Source organism: Homo sapiens, chromosome 5 (genome assembly GCF_000001405.40).
Source record: "Homo sapiens chromosome 5, GRCh38.p14 Primary Assembly".
NCBI lineage: Eukaryota > Metazoa > Chordata > Mammalia > Primates > Hominidae > Homo > Homo sapiens.
This window is the reverse complement of record NC_000005.10, coordinates 123,551,939-123,571,435: the sequence shown is the minus strand read 5'-3', so window position 1 is coordinate 123,571,435 and position 19,497 is coordinate 123,551,939. Positions and strand designations below refer to the sequence as shown.

At 34.5% G+C, this 19,497-nt stretch overlaps 1 protein-coding gene across 59 annotated transcripts in view; it reads right to left on the bottom strand.

Moving 5' to 3' along the window:
• The window catches only part of CSNK1G3 (casein kinase 1 gamma 3), a 104,873-nt gene that overhangs the window by 45,614 nt on the left and 39,762 nt on the right, over positions 1-19,497 (bottom strand). For 51 of the 59 annotated variants that reach the window (XM_017009060.2, XM_047416765.1, XM_047416768.1 and 48 more), the window contains 2 exons: positions 18,289-18,329; positions 13,872-13,941 (listed from right to left, as the gene is read on the bottom strand). The exons of 4 other annotated variants lie outside the window; for them this stretch is intronic. In XM_017009060.2, the coding sequence (XP_016864549.1) occupies positions 13,872-13,941; positions 18,289-18,329 (111 nt within the window). The remainder of the gene's footprint in view (positions 1-13,871; positions 13,942-18,288; positions 18,330-19,497) is intronic. 4 more of the 59 variants (NM_001364150.2, NM_001364145.2, NM_001364144.2 and 1 more) reach the window with 1 other exon arrangement.

Here is a 19,497-nt window from a genome sequence, read left to right as displayed (position 1 = left end):
GTGTAATCACTGTAGTCCCAGCTACTCGGGAGGCTGAGGTAGGAGAATCACTTGAACCCAGGAGGCGGAGATTGCAGTGAGCCGGGACTGCGCCACTGCACTCCAGCCTGGGCGACAGAGCAAGACTCCTTCTCAAAAAAACAAAACAAAACAAAACAAACAAACAAAAAAAGATAGTGTAATCATAGCAGGAATGGATACAAATTCAAACTGCATACATGGTGCCCTCCCCAGAAACAGAGATTCTGATACACCCCAATGTGTATGTATCACCACCCCCTGCAAACACACACACATCACACACGCTTGTCCCATCTCCTCTTGCTACTGGGAATCAAAGACACTCCTACCACAGCCACTCTTAGATGTATTTGTCATATCTACCCCTCACATGTGTAAAGGTGGAGAAAAGGTTCAGAAACAGGGAATGAGAGGCTTGTTAAGTTTATTCCAACTCTAAAATCCTGCTTTTACAATGCTATATACATTAAGAAGCTGGAGATGCAATTAAGATTTACAGACAGCTCTCAGCTACCACAACATCGACAGCTCTCAGCTACTAAGCTTTGAAAATTCTTTCCATAATGCTTTTTCCCCCTCTCTGCCACTGAAAGTTGTTAATTTACATCCTCTCAATTTAACAATCTCTAATAACTTATTCCACTACAGTTTGTTACTTCTGATATGCAGGGTGCATGGAAACCAGATCAAAGCTTGTTAGAACTATATAAAAAATGTAAAAATAAAAAGGTTTTGAACTTCTTCAATGAAAGGACTGTCGGCTGGGCGCGGTAGCTCATGCCTGTAATCCCAGGACTTTGGGAGGCTGAGGCCGGTGGGTCACTTGAGGTCAGGAGTTCGAAACCAGCCTGGCCCACATGGTGAAACCCCATCTCTAATAAAAATACAAAACAGTTAGCCAGGCATGGTGGCGTGTGCCTGTAATGCCAGCTACTTGGGAGGCTGAGGCAGGAGAACTGCTTGAACCCAGGAGGTGGAGGTTGCAGTGAGCCAAGATCGCGCCACTGCACTCCAGCCTGGCTGACACAGCAAGACTCTGTTTCAAAAAGAAAAAAAAAAAAAAAAAAAGAAAGGACTGTCAAAACGTTCTCTACTTCCTTCTGAATCACCATCTATATTCCCAATAGTTAACGTTGTTGAGAAATGACTTCTGAATAAGATAGATAGCAGTATGTTTTGGTTTATAAAATGACTGGTTTTTTCAAAAGTTTTCAACAGTTTCCAAAACAGGAAAACCATTTAAGGAATTTCACTGTCTTAATTAATTGAACAAATACTTACTGGACATATACTATATCTTTATGGGACTGGGTTGGGCATTACGGATACATAAGTGAATGAGAAACCATGCTAAGAATGTTTTAATCCAGGAATACAAAGTTGGGTTAATATTCAAAAATCCACCAATATAATTCACCATAATAATAGAAGAAATGGCAAAAACCTTAAGATTATCTTAAAGGGTGCTAAGAAAGCATCTGATTTAACACTCAAAAATTTGGAATAGAAGGTTTCTAAATCTGATAAAGGGAATCTAGGAAAAGTTACCAACTAACATCACATTTAATGGTGAAAGATTGAATGCTTTCCATTAATGACTGAGAGCAAGAGAACTTTTAACTTTTCTATTCAAGAGTACAACGAAGCAAAACAAATAAATAAATAAAAAGCATTCTCAAGAATGAATGAAGAGACTCTTACTTCAAGAAAAACTGACATTTATTACCAATAATAAAATTAAAGCTTTCAAGCAATTTGAATTTTGTAAAAATTTTTATATGCTATGATGACCTTGACAGTTTTCCAATACTTAAAAGCTTGTTCTGATGAAATTGTGGTGATATTAGCTATTATGATTTAATGTTGGGTAGTGAAATGTGTTAGTATTTGAAATACATGCATAACTCAATGAACCAGTGTCCTCCAAAAGACAATGCATGTAGTCAGAAATGGTTCATTCAAACTACAATGGATTTTAATGTATGAGAATAGAAAAAGTTTTTTGGTATGATTTCTATACTCTACATTGTAACTGACCTTTAAGAAATGACCACTTGTCAAATTTTGGTGTAGTTTCAAAGGCATATTCATAATTTAAAAATTAATTAGTCAAGACTGACAAAGTTGTGGGTTAAAACATTGATGAGAATAGAAAGCAGCACATTTTTGGAGGAAAATTACCCTATCCTTTTGTTTTTGAAGGAAAATTACTCTATCCTTTTGCTTTTGGAGGAAAATTACCCTATCATTTTCAAAGCAAGCATAAGTATGCATATAATCATGTTCAAGCTTCATTGTTTGTTACAGTTACAAAAAGAGTTGGCAGCTACCTAAAAATCCACCAACTCTAAGCTAATTAAACAAATTATTAGCTTGGTGCAAATGTAATTGCAGTTTTTGCATTGTTGCAAATTGCTGTTTGATACTGGAATACATTCTTAAATGTCGTCATGTTATACATCATTTTAATGCATGTTTCTCTTTTTATGTATTTTTGCTAATGACTTATTACTTGCTGTTTATTTTAAATTTACTTTAGACTATGGAAATGATGTTAGACAAAAAGCAAATTTGAGTGATTTTCTTATTCGAGTTCAAAAATGGGTCGTATATAGCAGTGGAAACAACATGCAACATCAGCAATGCATTTGGCCCAGGAACTGCTAACAAACATAGAGTGCAGTGGCAGTTCAAGAAGTTTTACAAAGGAGACAAGAGCCTTGAAGATGAGGAGCATAGTGGTTGGCCATCAGAGGCTGACAATGACCAACTGAGGGCAATCATCAAAGCTGATCCTCTTAAAACTACACAAGAAGTTGCCAAAGAACTCAACGTCGACCTTTCTATGGTCGTTCAGCATTTGAAGCAAATTGGAAAGGTGAAAAAGCTCGATTAGTGGGTGCCTCATGAGCTGAGCAAACATTTTTTAAAAAAACATCATTTTGAAGTGTCATCTTCTCTTATTTTACACAACAACAATGAACCATTTCTCAATCGGATTGTGATGTGAGACAAAGAGTGGATTTTACATGACAACCGGTGACAACCAGCCCAGTGGTTGGACCGAGAAGAAGCTCCAAAGCACTTCCCAGAGCCAAACTTGCACCAAAAAAAGGTCATAGTCACGTCTGGTGTTCGGCTGCTGGTCTGATCCACTGCAGCTTTCTGAATCCCAGCGAAACCATTACATCTGAGAAGTATCCTCAGCAAATCAATGAGATGCACCGAAAACTGCAATGCCTGCAGCTGGCATTGATCAACAGAAAGGATCCAATTCATCTCCACCACAACACCGACCGCACATTGCACAGCCAACGCTTCAAAAGTTGAACAAATTGGGCTATGAAGTTTTGCCTCATCTGCCATATTCACCTGACCTCTTGCCAACCAACTACTACTTCTTCAAGCATCTTGACAACCTTTTGCAGGGAAAACGTTTCCACAACCAGCAAGATGCAGTAAAAATGCTTTCCAAGAGTTCATCAAATCCCGAAGCACTAATTTTTATGCTACAAGAATAAACACTTATTTCTTATTGGCAAAAATGTGTTGACCGTAATGGTTCCTATTTTGATTAATAAAGATGTGCTTGAGACCAGTCATAATGATTTAAAATTCACAGCCCACAACTGCAATTATGTTTGCACCAACCTAATATGTCATACCCATATTACGGAATATAATACAGCCTTTGACTATCTTTGGCGATAACTGTGAAAGACAAACTTTTATTACTTACTTCTTATAATACTGCTGATTAAAATTTTTGTTGTTTTAAACCATGTATTACTTTTAAAATATTTTTTTTTAAAATGGAGTCTCACTCTATTGCCCAGGCTGGAATACAGTTGTGCGATCTCAGCTTGCCACAACCTCCACTTCACGGTTCAAGTGATTCTCCTGCCTCAGGCTCCCAAAATAGCTGGGATTATAGGCACCTGCCACCACGCCCAGCTAATCTTTTTATTGTATTTTTAGTAGAGACAGGGTTTCCCTATGTTGGCCAGGATGGTCTCAAACTCCAGACCTCAAGTGATCCACCCACCTCAGCCTCCCAAAGTGCTGGGATTACAGGCGTGAGCCACCACGCCTGGCCTTAAAATAAAATATTTCTAATGAGTCACTGATATGGTTTGGCTGTGACCCCACCCAAATCTCATCTTGAATCGTAACTCCCACAATTCCACATGTTGTGGGAGGAACCCAGTGGGAGGTGACTGAATTATGGGACTGGGTCTTTCCTGTACTGTTCTCATAATAGTGAATGAGTCTCAAAAGATCTGATGGCTTTAAAAATGGGAGTTTGCCTGCACAAGCTCTTGTCTGCCAGTGAGATGTGCCTTTCACCTTCCGCCATGATTGTGAGGCCTCCCCAGCCACATGGAACTGTTAAGTCTAATAAACCTCTTTCTTTTGTAAATTGCCCCGCCTCAGGGCAATTTATCAGCAGCAAGAAAACGGACGAATACAATCATTAAACATACATACGAATAGAAAAGATAACATAAGAAAAAAGCAGAAAGCTAACATTACTGGAAGCACTGGTGATTTCTACCTTCACTTTTTTTTTTAAACTTTTCCTAATTTTTATTACGAACATATGCTATTTTTGCAATCAGGAAAAAAAGTGCTTACTTTAAAGATTCTAGGACCACAAAGAAAAACTTAAAATGATATTTACACCAAACTATAATTTTATTTCCCAGAACAAGTCTGGACAGTTTTTTTAATCACTGAGCAAACAACTTAAATTTTTAAGAGTTAAGAAGAATTGCAATTAACAAACAGAGGTTGAGGCAGGGTATATCCTAAGCAAAAACAAACCAAAACCACCAGAGCAACGTAAATGGTAGGTTAGGTCACAAGGTAGAGATTCTTTAGAAATGGGAGAGGTAAGGAAAAAGAGGGCACGACAGGCTCAGAAAGGTTTGTTCTTACACCTGGTGAATTTTCAATTATAAAATCTTACTCCACCCATTCCAGTGGTTCTAAAATTATTTTTATTTGATACTAATATAAAAAGCTATCCACTGTGAATTCATGAAAGTTACATCTGATAATTTCCAATATCTTTACTTTTCAAGAGAAGTTTATTTTTTCCCAAGAAAAGCTCAAGGAGTATGAATACAAAATTCACATATTTGAAAATACAATCTCACCCTCACTCCCCCAAAATTCACTTCATTAAATATCTCATTTTATATGTTGGTATTCCCTTTAAGTGACAAAACAAAATTAGGTCACACAACAGTAATACACAGAAACTATTAAAGACTGCTTGGTACTTTGTGTCAAGTTTTTAAATACTTCAGTTCCTTACAGGTAAGTATTAGTTAAGTAGACCATTAAGGAAATAATATCATGATCCATTTCACAGTAATATCATGATCCATTTTCAGGTCTAGAATTCTTCATGTAAAATGTAAAACAGTGATATAGTTTGGGTGTTGTCCCCTCTAAATCTTACGTTGAGTTATAATCCTCAGTGTTGAAGGTGGGGCCTGATGGGAGTTAACTGGGTCAATGGGGCAGATCCCTCATGGGTTTGTGCTGTTCTCATGATTTTGAGTTCTTATGAGATTTGGTTTAAAAGTGTGTTGCACCTCCCCTTCACTTTCTCTCTCTCTTGCTCCCACTCTCTCCACGTGATAACTGGCTTCCCCTTGCCTTCTGCCATGATTGTACACTTCCTGAGGCCTTACCAGAAGCTGAACAGATGCCTGGCACCATGCTTCCTATACAGCCTACAGAACCGTGAGCCAACTAAACCTCTTTTCTTATAAATTACCCAGACTCCAGCATTTCTTTATAGCAACACAAGAACAGCCTAACACAAATAAGAAGAATTAGAACAAAAGTACTAACAAACTTATTAGGAAATTTAAACTTCCTGATTTAATTTAAACAGCTCTGATTAAGAAAACCTAAATTGTGGCTAGAAATGCTAAGTACAGAATTATCACACAGTATCACCCTATCTTTTTTTTAGGGTAATTTTGCATTAAGGCATTCTTAACCTTTAGCACAAATGCTTATACTCCTAGATCAACAGTTTTCAACATGTGGCCTGAAGCTCTTGAGGACAGAGGTGGTCCGTGAGACCCTTGCAGGAAGTCAGTAATATCAAAATTATTTTGTAATAACATAAATATGTTTTTTTCACTCTCATTCCAGAGACTATGGGACTTGTGTTATCACAATGTATTAAATGCAGAAGATATGGGAATCTAGCTGTTTACTGTTAAGCCAGACATTAAAGACATTTGCAAAATATGTAGAACAATGTTACTTTTCTCATTTTTTCTGTTTTGGAAAGTATATCAACAAAATTGCCTTGATTTTAAAATGTCTCAATTATTATTTTTATTTTAAACAAATATAGCAACATTTTTATATTTCTGTGTTAATTTCTAATATGGTAAATATCAATAGCTACAACCCACAACAACAAAAGTGCTCTGAGATACTCAAAAAGGGTAAGAGCATAAAAGAATCCTGAGACCCGAAAGTTTAAGAAGTGCTGTCCTAGCTGAATAGTAAGCGCTGCTATGAACCAACAGGTGAACTGAATTATGGACTTGGTAACAGTCCTTCCATTAAAAGACCACAATATCTGCATTTAGCAGTAAAATTCTATCAATTAACCCCAAATAAAAGGAATCAAGTTATTCTACTGTAAAAAAGAGCAACAGTCCTTTCTGTGATGATTTAATTTACACATTTAGAAATTATTCTAACATTCAAACAACATTAAAAAAATAACATCACCTACAAACAAGTAAAAATTTAACTGTTGCAAAAACTGAATGGAACTTAAGTTGTTATCCAATTTGGGCCTATAAAATTTAAGGAAAAAATGGACTCTATGATTCTTCCCCCTAGTCCCTAAGCTACAAGCTTACAAATCTTTTCTTCTTACAATGCATTATATAACACTTAAAGCAAAACTAAATATGAAATTTTCATAATTTTTCATGGTTTTATACTTTCTATCTTTTTACTATTACACAAGGAATTACAAAAATTATGTATATTTAGTAATATCCTATTCAAAAGTATGGTTTGCTTTTTGCTTAAGATTCCTATGTGCTTAATTAATCATTGAAAATACTATAATAACCACACCACACACAACACTAATGCCTGCACCATATAAACCAAACTAAAACCACTATCAGTTAACACCTCTTTCTGATAATGCATAACATTCTTTAAATGTACCCATTCTCCATAAACTACAACTTTAACAGAAAAAAATTGTATACTTCCATCTACTATGATAGTAGTAACAATGTAAGTATATATTCACATATAAATAAGTAAATGTTTAGCAGTGTAAAACTTGTAGAAATTTCCATACAGAGAGATCTCTAACTTTAAAGAATTAGAAGTATTACATATTTTTAAAAACTTCTTCTAAAAGCAATTTAGCTATGACAGAAAAAGGAATTCTAAGAATCTGCTACATAAACTGTTGGTTACCTGGGCTGAGATTAAGTTTACACTACTGACTAACCCACTCATATCATATTTTCATTATTTTTGTTAATATCAAAATACAGTAAGCAATAGTCTAAGTATTTATTCACTTAACTTTCATGCTTTTTACAGTACTTCCTTTCAATTTTTTCAAACAACAGCTTATAATATACATAGAGCAGAATTTTTTGAATGTCTTACCTAAAACATGGTCTGAGAAACTTGATCTGGTAACTGTGAATTAAATCAGTTTTAGATACTACTGAATGGTTTATACCCACAACTTTTAACAAAGTTTATACTATTACCCATAATACTTCTCAGAAGTGAACAGTACAATAAAATTTCCGTATATTACAAAATCACCAACGTTCATTTAACCAGCAGACGGAACTAAATCATCTTAAAAATAAAGTGAAAACGTAGGCATCGATAAACCAGTGTAAAAAACTGCAGGGAGCACATAAATCCAGACTTTTTAACAAGGCACAAATCAAGAAGGCAGAAGGATCAGCATAAAGAAGAAAGAGGGGGCTTTTCAAACACCTTTTAAAAGACAGCATTATAAAGAGTTATAATTTCAGTAACAGCACCTGTGGCTACCATCAAATTATTGCTTAGAACTACATAGTCCAAGGAATCTCAAAAAGTCAAGCCACTCGAGAAATGATGATTTAACATATGAATGGTGTCAAACAGTATTTTTAATATCATCTCTATAGTCAGAGATTTGCCAAGAATAATTTATGACAGAGAAAAAGATCATTTACTTCCTCTGATAAGTAGTAATTTATGACAGAAAAAAAGGTTATTTTTTCCTATGATTAAAAATATCAGCTAATTAAGATGTTCCAAGGAATGCATTAATTGCAGTTTCTCCTAATGTAGCCTATTTAAACTCATGTCAAAAAAAATTAAGAAGTGTTACTGAGAATCACAGACCTCCAAAAACAATTTTCCCATAAATTTCAAATATGTTCTATGCATTTTCATGAAATATCAACAATTCAGATATACTTACTTTCAAGTAAATGAAGAAACTGAGTTAATTCTAATAATTAAAGCCCACCCTTCTCAAGAAAGTGACTAATTTTAGATGGCTGAGTTGTATAGTTCAGCAAGTTTTAATATAAAACTTTCTGCATATCTCCTTGGTTACCACTTCCATTAATTAAAAAATTCTCACCAATAATTTTTTCCTTTGATCTCTAGTTGTCCAAAATGAGAAAATAAATTTACCTAATCATAGGATAATACAAATGAAATTAATTTTTAGAATTTAAAAATTTGAAATTGTATTATTTGTCCAGAAATAGAATAAACTCAAAATTAATAATACGACAATTTTGTGTAATATTAAAATATCAAACTTTAATCACAGGGTCACAGAAGTTAGAAAATATAGGAAATTTGAAGATTATACATCCCAACTTCACATCTAATGAAAGAAAACAGTCTATTATTGTTAGTTAAGAATTTATTCTTTCAACCATTTACCAAGAACCTACAAGTGCCAATCATTCTGCTACCAAGAAGAAAAAGATGAACATATCATTATCACTGCCCTCAAAGAGTTCAAAATTCAGTGGAGAAGACAGACATAGACAAATAATAATTACCATACGATAAAAGAAAAATAAAGGTTTCAAAGGTTTACATATTCAAAATATCAGATCAAATAAGAAGATTTTCTGGAGAGGAAAAGATGTCAGAAAATGCATTGCTAAGCAGGTGACATTTAGCTAGGGCTTAAAGAAAAATAGAATTCATTAGAAAAGAAAGATATTCGAGAAAGAATACAGACGTGAAAATAGTAAGATCTACTCAAGGAATAGTAAGTGTAGTGCAACTAAAAAGTAGGTCAGTAGAAAGAGAAACGAATTTGGACTTTATACTAAATGATGTGCCCCTCTGTGCAGGTAGAGGTAAAAAGCTGGTTGAGATATTCAAAAGGAAGCCCAATTCGAAGAAAAGTAACAATGGGGACTGGAAGAGAATTAAGTCAAGAGAGATTTTAAGAGACAAAATTGACAGAACTTTTTTACTATACCAATACGCCAAAATCAGAGGAGGCTAACATTTCAGCTTGAACAGATGTGGAACTAATGGAACTAGGTAATCCAGAAGATCAAGCAGGAAGGTCTTTTAAGAGAGAGAGAAACTGTCGAGAAAATAAGGGGAAAAGAAGGTAGGGAACTCAATTCCAGCTATATGAATTTCTGATTTCAGTAGGGATATTCATATACAGCTAGACTTTAAGAATAGAAGCAGGAGATAAAGAACTGGAAGTTGTCTTTACACAAATAGTAATTTCATTTCTTCCTCCTTCCCTCCTGTTACAAAAAGTCCAGGATTGCAGGATGAAGCCACACACCAAGGTTAGGAGCCTGGTTCCTTACTTTTGAGCAGCTGTACCAACCCTACAATTGCCCACCTCTGAACTCACTTGTCTCACATTACATCCCTTTACTTGTTTAAGCTACTGCTTTCACAACTTTTGTTATTAAGAGTCAAATCTATTTATATCCAATGGAGTAGTCCACACAGCTTTGTTCTTGCTATTCTTTTCTTGTCAACCTCTATACTCTCCTCAGGGAGATCTCATCCATTTCTTTAGCTTTAAAAACCATCTATGTGCTGATGACTCCCAAACCCAGGTCTTCATTTGACTCAACGAATACTGAGTAGATGTGACAAAACAAGACTATTCAATACATTAAATTTTTGCTATCCCAGAGAGTGATAATGGTATAAAACAATAGTCTAATCCTATGCAAAGCTAAATAATGTAATGTAAAGAGGGATATTGTCAGAGAAGCTACATAAAGGAAAGAAACATGGATTTACAGGAGGATCAAAACCCAAACGGGCAAAACCAAATTGTATATTTTTTCACAGATACCCCACTAAATAATTCTAAATAAATCTATTTTCCAATTTATTTGTGGTAAAATACACATAGAATTTGTCATTTAAACCATCTTTAAGTGTACAGTTCAGTGGCATTAAGTACATTTACATTACTGTATAACCATCCCCACCATCCATCCATCTCCAAAATTTGTTCATCATCCCATACTGAAACTCTTACCCAATGAACAATAATTCCCCATTTCTGCCCTCTCCCCAAGCCCCCAGAAAACACCATTCTACCTTCTGCCTCTATGAATTTGACTATTCCAACCTCATGTTAAGTGAAATTTATTTGTCCTTTTGTGACCGCCTTATTTCACTTTGCAGAATTTTCCTTTTTTTAGTACAATGGCATGATCAAAGCTCATTGCAGCCTTGACCTCCTGGGCTCAAGCGATGCTCCCACCTCAGCCTCCCAAGTAGCTGAGACCACAAGTCTCAGTGCTGGGATTATAGGCGTGAGCCACCACACCTAGCCTTCCTTTTTAAAGCTGGATAATATTCCATCTTATGTATATACCACATTTTATCCATTTTTCTGTCAATGTACACTTGGGTTGCTTCTACCTTTTGGCTAGTGTAAACAATACTTCTATGAACATGAATGTACAATTACCTGTTGAAGTCATGCTCTCAATTATTTTATGTATATATCCAGAAGTGGAATTGCTAGATCAAATGGTAGTTCTATGTTTAATTTTTCTGAAGAATCAACATACAATTTTCCACGGTGGCTTTTTTAAATTTTTACACCAATGCACAAGGATTCCAATTTCTCCATATCCATACTAACACTTGCTTTCTGTGTATTGTTTTGTTTTGTTACAGCCATATTGAGGGGTATGAAGTGGTATCTCATGGTTTCCAGCTGCATTTCCCTAATGATTAGTGGTGTTGAGCATTTTTTTATGTTTTTCATCAGCCATTTGTATATCTTTGGAGATTTGTCTATTCAAGTCCTTTGTCCATTTTTCAATTGGGTTGTCTATTTTTGTTGGTGAGTTTTAGAAGTTCTTTATATATGCTGGATATTACTTAAATATATCTATTTTTAAAGAGAATATTAACAAGCAAATTGCTATATAAATGAAATTCAGCATACCATAGGAAAATTATAGGTTGAGTTACTCTAAATAGCCCGTTTATAATTAAGAGCAGTCTGAAAATATAATCTTTTCAGATATGAATTCCAAAATCAAACTGTTTAAAAGTCATCAGTTCTTCCAAAACAATTAAGCACTCTTGTTTTTCTACAAAGCTCACAAAGGTACTTAAAAATGCTTTCACAAAACTCACAAATGACCAAAAAAAAAAAAAAAACCACAAAAAATATGCCCAAATTCATGACTCGTACAAAATACTAAAAAATATCCACATGTGTCACAGCTCAGAGCCACCATGATGCAAACCTTCAGTAAGACCATTTGTATTTCAATCTATGTAAATGACACCCATAGAGCAGAGAGGAGCATAGCACCCTTAGTAAACAGAGACTACCCTGTAAATGGTGGTCCCTGCAGTTGTGCAACACTGCAGTCCTATGGCATACAAGTCCTAAAAGATGTTTCATTTTTATTCTTACTATCTCTGACATAGTTTTTAAATATAAAACAGAAAAAAGTTAAAATAATAAAAGTACATCTTTGTTACTCAATTCAATGACTTGCTAAACTCTAAACTGACTAACTCATTTCTAACTAAACCACTCAATCCTATTCTTCCAAATGACAGTTTTATTACTGTACTAGATAGATCTGGTTTTTTTTTTCATCACCGTGGCATCCAATCCCCCTTATATAACACCTCGATTTCCCAGTAGGCAATCACCTCCCCCATTCTCAGTCTCTAAAGTTCGGATAAGCATTTGATCTAACTTGAGGCAATCAAATTCATAGTAATTAAATCAGGGATAAGCATGACATAAGGCAGTAAGATTTAGTCCTACAACTTTTGCTGAAATTTTTAGGAAAGAGATGCTTTCATAATTGCTAAGCCTAGGTTATTGGTGGCAACCTCCAGAATCTCTTAAGAAGGGCCAACTAGAGAGTGAAGCTTACACATACTCATAAGGCATATCATAGAGACTTGACATGTTGATGACAGTATTTGAAGCACTGGATAGAGCAATGTCTAATCTATCAAGTCATTTCCTTGAATTTCCAAGTACATGAGTCAATAAATTCGTTTTATACCCACTTAACTTCTTATTTGCTAGTATAATAACTAATATGTATAGTTTCACATATAATTCGTTTTATCCCAATAGCCTTTAAATCCCAGTTGTCAGTGATAATTTTGATAACTCCCTGAGGCCTGTCTGTATCAGACTTAAATATGTATTATAAGAAGTCTGTAGTGATGAACACATTACTACAACATTTAAAACTTATTGCCCCTACAATGACTACTCATTTGCAAAGTGTGCTCTTAGAAAAAACAGAATGTAAAACTGATATCAGTATGAAATGGACAGCTCTACCCACTAGAATGTAAACATGCTTACAAAAAGATACATGAAGAAATTCCATTTTATTAAATCTGGAGAAACAAAATTCCTCTACCTGTATTATACAAGAAGCTATACAAGTAAAATTCTTACAATTAATTGAATAGAAGTATACAGAAAAGTGCTGTGAGAACCTTTTAACATAAAGGAAATGTAACAAACAATAGAAATTTTTTCCATGAATTTTCTCTAGTGGCATGAAATAATCTCACTTGAATTTAGAGTTTATCTAAAAACATACCCATATTAGTTGCCTACGGCTGCTGTAACAAATTACTACAAATTTGGTGGCTTACAACAACAGAAATTTATTTTTTTACAGTTATGGAGGTAAGAGTCTGAAATCAGTTTCATTGGTCTGAATCAATGTCTTCGCAAGGCCACACTCCCTCTAGAGACTCTAGGCGAAAGTACTAGAAGCCTCTTCCAGGTTCTCTCCACTCTGCTCCACAGTCACAATGCCTACTCCTTTTCTGTGTGTGTAAATGTCCCTCTGCCCCCACCAGATAATCCAGAATAATCTCTCCATCTCAAAATCCTTAATTTATCATACTTGCAAAGTCTTTGTCATACAGTAACATGTAGAGGTTCTAGGGATTATGATACAGATAACTTCTATGTGGCCATTTTTCAGCCTACCACTATATTGTAAGTCACTTCAACAGCTATAATAGTGCCTCCAAAAAGACTAAGAATATGGAAGAAGTATGCATTTTATATTTGCAAATTAAATTTTTTCACAATGTTCTCTACTCATATCAGCATAAACATAAAAAGCTCCAAATTTGTCATAAAATAAAAAAGGGATCCTAAGACCATAGTAAGAAAACGTATAGTAAACATAGCCTTGCAAAGTGATTTCCTTAACCAAACTTAAAATACCATTCCTTGAAACTAAAAAGTCATGACAATCCACTTTATTTCAAATTTAAAAATTAATATAAGACTTTACCTCCAGATCCTAACTGCTTATAGAATCTGTATTCCAAATGTAGCTGTGGTGCTCTTGATTTCATGGGCTCCTAATTGAAAAACAAACAAAAAAAGACATTTAAGTTATTAAAAGAGCACTAGGTCCCAACACAAATGTTATAAATTTTGGTGTCAATGCCTATATTATGTAATAGTCTACCAGGCATCTTTGTCTAAGATTAGATTCATATAAAAATCAACTTTCTGTTCAATGTAAAATAAAATGATACTACAAATGTACATAAACTAAGTAGCCATTAGATCAGGCAGGAGAAAAATCCCTTAAGTTTGACTCTTTGACCCTGAGAAAAATATGTTCTGAACATTCATCACTAGAGAAATGATGGCTCTTATGCTATTTCTCCTGTTCTCCAAATTCACCTCTGAACTGTGTATTTCTTACATAAAGGTTCTAGATTAAAGTTAAGTCATAGGATAGTAAGAACAAAGATGGTAATTTGAAAATTTTGATAGTAGCAACAATGTCTTAATTTTTTTTCACTAAAGTATAACTTATATGCAATAAAACACACAGTTCATAAGCGTTAAATACATATTAACTCCATATATCCCTATAACCACCACACCAATCTATAGAACATTTCCATCATACCTTTTTTACTTCTATCACCTTTGGATTAGTTTTGCCTGTTGCTGGATTTCACCTAAATGATATTATACAGTATATGCTTTCTGTTGTGTCCAGCTTTTATCATTCGACATAAATGTTTTTGAGATTCATATACACACACCACACACACACACACACACACACACACAAACATGTACAGAGGAAACATGGGTTTTAGACGTTAGAAATAATATTAAATATGAAAATACAAGAAGTAGAAAACTGTAACAGGGTAACAGGAAATTTTAAAAAGAACCAACAGAAAAGTATAACAAGGTAATAGAAAATTTCAAAAAGAATCAATAGAACTTTGAAAAATAAGAGAATACAATAACTAAATTTAAAACTCATTTTGCCAGCAGATTAACAGAAGAGAGAATTTGGAAACTGTAAGGCAGACAGAAAAACTATATAGAATGCATCATGAAGGAAGAAAAACTGGAAAACAGAAGAAAAGGATCAGACACCTGGACAATCCAGTGAGAAGATTTAGTATGGATTTGATAACAGTATCAGGAGGAAAGGAGACAGAAAAGTGAGCAGATGCAATAACTGGATAAATTATTGCTATGAATATTCCAGAATTGATGAGGTTAACAACCCACCAATTCAAGAGGAATGTGAATCCCAAACAGGATAACTAAAAAGAATTTTACACCAACACATCATAATGAAACTGTGACCAACAACAAAAGAATTCACATAAGCAATATTAAAATCCCACTGCAAAACTTATAAGTTTTATTACAGGAGAAAACAATCAGCTTAGTTCTTGAGAGGCAGGATAGTACAGTAGTTAAGAGCACAGACACTGAAACTAAATTGTACTAGGTTTGAATCCTAAATCCTCTATTTCTAGCTGTGTGACTTTCAGCAAGTTACTTAACTTTTCTGTACTTTCCAGTTCCCTCATCTGTAAAATTGGGTTAAAACTTAACCTTTCTTATATATAAAGTACTTAAAACAGTGCCTTCTATACATATAGCACTATATTACCTATAATTCTTCAGTTAACTACCTAGAAGTACATAACCTTAAGATGCAATAAAAAGATGTCCATGTACACAATCACAAATGAAATTAAATATATAACTTATTCAATCACTACTCCCCCTTAGGATAAAAATACTGACCCAAATCTGACTTAGTTGAGTCATTTCAACTAGATTCCAGTACTTAAGCAGTAAAATTTTAACACTATATAATAAAAGTCACCTTCCCCAGGATGACATTTTCATTATTCATGTACAACAAGATATAAGGATGGTAGCTGAGGTAATATTAACAAATTATCCTGAAACAAACTGTTGATCTGAACTAGGGTAATATTAGATAAATGTAAAAAATCTTTGTAAGAGATAATGGAGTGAAAGCAGTCACAGAAATCTGCTCTCTGAACTCAGGTTATCAAATAATGCCTTTATTTGTACCGAGCAAAGTATAAAAGCCAGATAACACTGAGGTATGCAGACATAAGATGTTCAAGTGATTACTTTTATGGCAGGTCTAAACAAAATCATGTTATCTGGCACAAACAGATATAACAGACACAAATGAAAAAACATATAAGGAAATCATGAACTATCATTCAACAATGTATGTGAAAAGTTTTCTGTCCTTCCGATATTTTGGATGAACTTGAGGTGAACGTGACTAGATACCACTCTACAACCTCAAAATACTAGAGACATAGATCCAAAAATATTCCTAGTTCCCCCAAAGAACAATGTATAACCATAATTATTACATGTAATGCTGATCATTGTGCTTTAAAGAAAGACAAAACAGAGAGGAGGAAGAATGTTTCCCCCTAAAAAGGGGAGAAAACTAGTTAAGAGGACAGAGATACAGCACAAAAATAAACTTAAAAAAGTGATATATGTGTATGTATATAAGAAGGCTGAAAGATGACATAATAAACGTTTAGTAAGGCATCAATGGTATGAACAAGTTCCAAATCTATAAATAACAGGACCTAAGGATCACCACTTAATGAATGAAACAGACAAGGAAAGCTCAGCCTAGAGCAGGGGTTTCTGCTTTGACACGATGGTTTATCTGCCTTAATATATCAGATAACTATCATTCACATACAAAGCATGCTCCCATGAGTAGAGCTGCCCACTACAGGCTGTTGTATCAATAGCACAGACTGTAAACACTGCCACACTTTTATCCTTGCACACCACAAAGATTGTTGTAGGTTCAGGACCACTGGCCTACAACATGAGAAAAGGAAGAATTTCAAAGAAATGAAAGTCAGCAATGCCTGTTCAAACAACGTCCAGGCTGGGCACAGTGGCTCACGCCTGTAATCCCAGCACTTTGGGAGGCCGAGGCAGGCGGATCCCACAGTAGGCCTCCCCGCTGTGATTAATATTCACCAACCTCTTTCTGATTTCATGCTCATGAGGGGACCTTGAAATTTTAACTTGGCTTTCTATGTACATCGGCCCATAGAAAGAAACTTGGGCTTTCTAGACCTGTAAAATACCTCATTATTAGTTAGAAATTCACTCTTTCCTGAATCTGAGAGCTTGATAGTGTGAACTGATTACTGTGAATCCACCTCTAAGAAACGCTGACAACTGGTGAGATAACCTAATCACGTTTTGTTTCATAAGCCAAGGACCAGATCTTAATACCAAGACGGACTCATCTAGGTAAAATCCAGTCTAAAGCCACATGTCAGCCAACCAATCTCTCTTCATGGCACTGCAACCCTACTCCACATCTTTATTTCAAGTGAAAATAAACATTTGTTACACTAAAACTTGGTCTATATTCAAAAGATACTTAAAATTAAATAGTGGAGTTTTTCTATTTCCTCCCATTTGCCTCTTCTCCTAATAGTCTCTCTTTTATATATTCATTTCATATTACCCTAATAACAGAGGTTATATTGACAGAGACAAGGTTGAAAAAGGCAGAGAAAACCAAGCCATGCTAAACCTCATACACATACATATATGTGTATGTATATAAGAAGGCTGAAAGATGACATGATAAATGTTTAGTAAGGCATCAATGGTATGAAAAAGTTCCAAATCTATAAACAATAGGACCTAAGGATCACCACTTAATGAATGAAACAGGGAAACCTGGCTGCAAACCAGACAGAAAAGTTGTACCAGGAAAAGTATGTCTTACAAAAATAATTCCTAGATCCCAATTTTTCCAAAGAGATCGCTCTGCTCTGCAGCTGTCATACTGGGCACATTGAAAACTTCAGAATAATTCCACGGGAGTTTGCTTTCCCTGTTATCTATCACCTACCACATCAAGCATTTCTGCATCCCTCAAAGTCAAGCAATAGCCAGCTTTGCCATATATATGAAGTAACAATTTAAAAAGAAATTTCAGAAGCTACCTGGAAGTATGTTTTCAAAGAATATAATCCTGAATACTAAGAACACTTTTGTTTTACCAAAATGTTTGAATCAGAAGGCAAAATCTTGTTAATTTTTATCTAATTAAAAATCCTTCCCTAAATTAAAAATAGGGCCAAGATCCAGTTCTACAATGCTGCCAAAGTAAAGGGATTGAGTTTTTGTGGCACAGACAAACATGAATGTCCTACACATTACCATATACTTTAAGAGCAGGATGATGTTAGGAGCTTAGCAACAAAGATTAGCTATGCATATAACTGTCAAATAAACATCCAAATTATAAATGACATGAAAACAAAAAATAATTAAAATATATAAGTTACTTAAAAAGTAACAAAGAAATCATTAAGAAAAATTAAGAAACAGGAACTTACCAACTTAATTGCCACATATTCATTTGTGTATAAATTTTTCCCTTGAAAAAGAAAAAAAAATCAGATTCTGCCAGTAATTGATTTTAAAGATACATTATATAAAACTGTACTCTGAAAAAAAGCACATAATACATTTAACTAAAGCATAGGTTTTTGCTTCTATTTGGCAAAAAAACTTAACAAGGAAATATTCAAACTTATTATCAACTCGATGTATTTAGTATTTCACCTAGATTCAGAGTAGAAAGTGATACAGACACTACAGATACTAGTAGCCCACTTATAAAAATGGAAAGATTCTGACTTTCTTGGAATATTGTATACAATTTAAAAGTAATCAATAGTCAAATGCATGGTCAAAAAATTTCAAAACGAGAACTCCTATATAAGAATAAGAATACCAAATTCCTCTTCCAACTATCATTTCATTTTAAATTCATCATTATTATGAGATGTAATCTTACTAGGGCTCATATTTAATCCAGTAAGTATATTAAATAAACATAAAATATCTGAAATAATATTTAAAAACATTCAATAATTGGCTGTGATAAACTAACCACTTTGAGGAGAAAAATAGTTACTGGTGCCTCACCTTACAACAAAATTAATTCCAAATATCTTGAGTTAAATATAAGCTAAAAACAAGAAAGAATATTTATCACATCCACATATTAAGGATATTCTGAGCAGAAGAAGATCATGGCCGGGCGTGGTGGCTCATGCCTGTAATCCCAACACTTTGGGAGGCTGAGGCAGGTGGATCATGAAGTCAGGAGTTCAAGACCAGACTGACCAGCATGGTGAAATCCTGTCTCTACTAAAAATACAAAAATTAGACAGGCATGGTGGCGCACGCCTGTAATCCCAGCTACTCAGGAGGCTGAGGCAGGAGAATTCGCTTGAACCCAGGAGGCAGAGGTTGCAGTGAGCCGAGATCACACCACTCCACTCCAGCCTGGGCAACAGAGTGAGACTCCATCAAAAAAAAAAAATTAGGATCATAACGTTTTATACAGATTTGATTACATAAAATATTTAAAATATCTAATATCACTAGAGATTTAATATCACTAACTTGTAAAGAATTCAAGTGAATTACAGTAATCTTTAGCACTGCAAATCAAAAATAATCTAGAAAATTCCAATTGGTCAGCATCTGTAGTCAAAGTAGAGTACTAAAGAGAATTTTGGAAGCACTAAGTATAT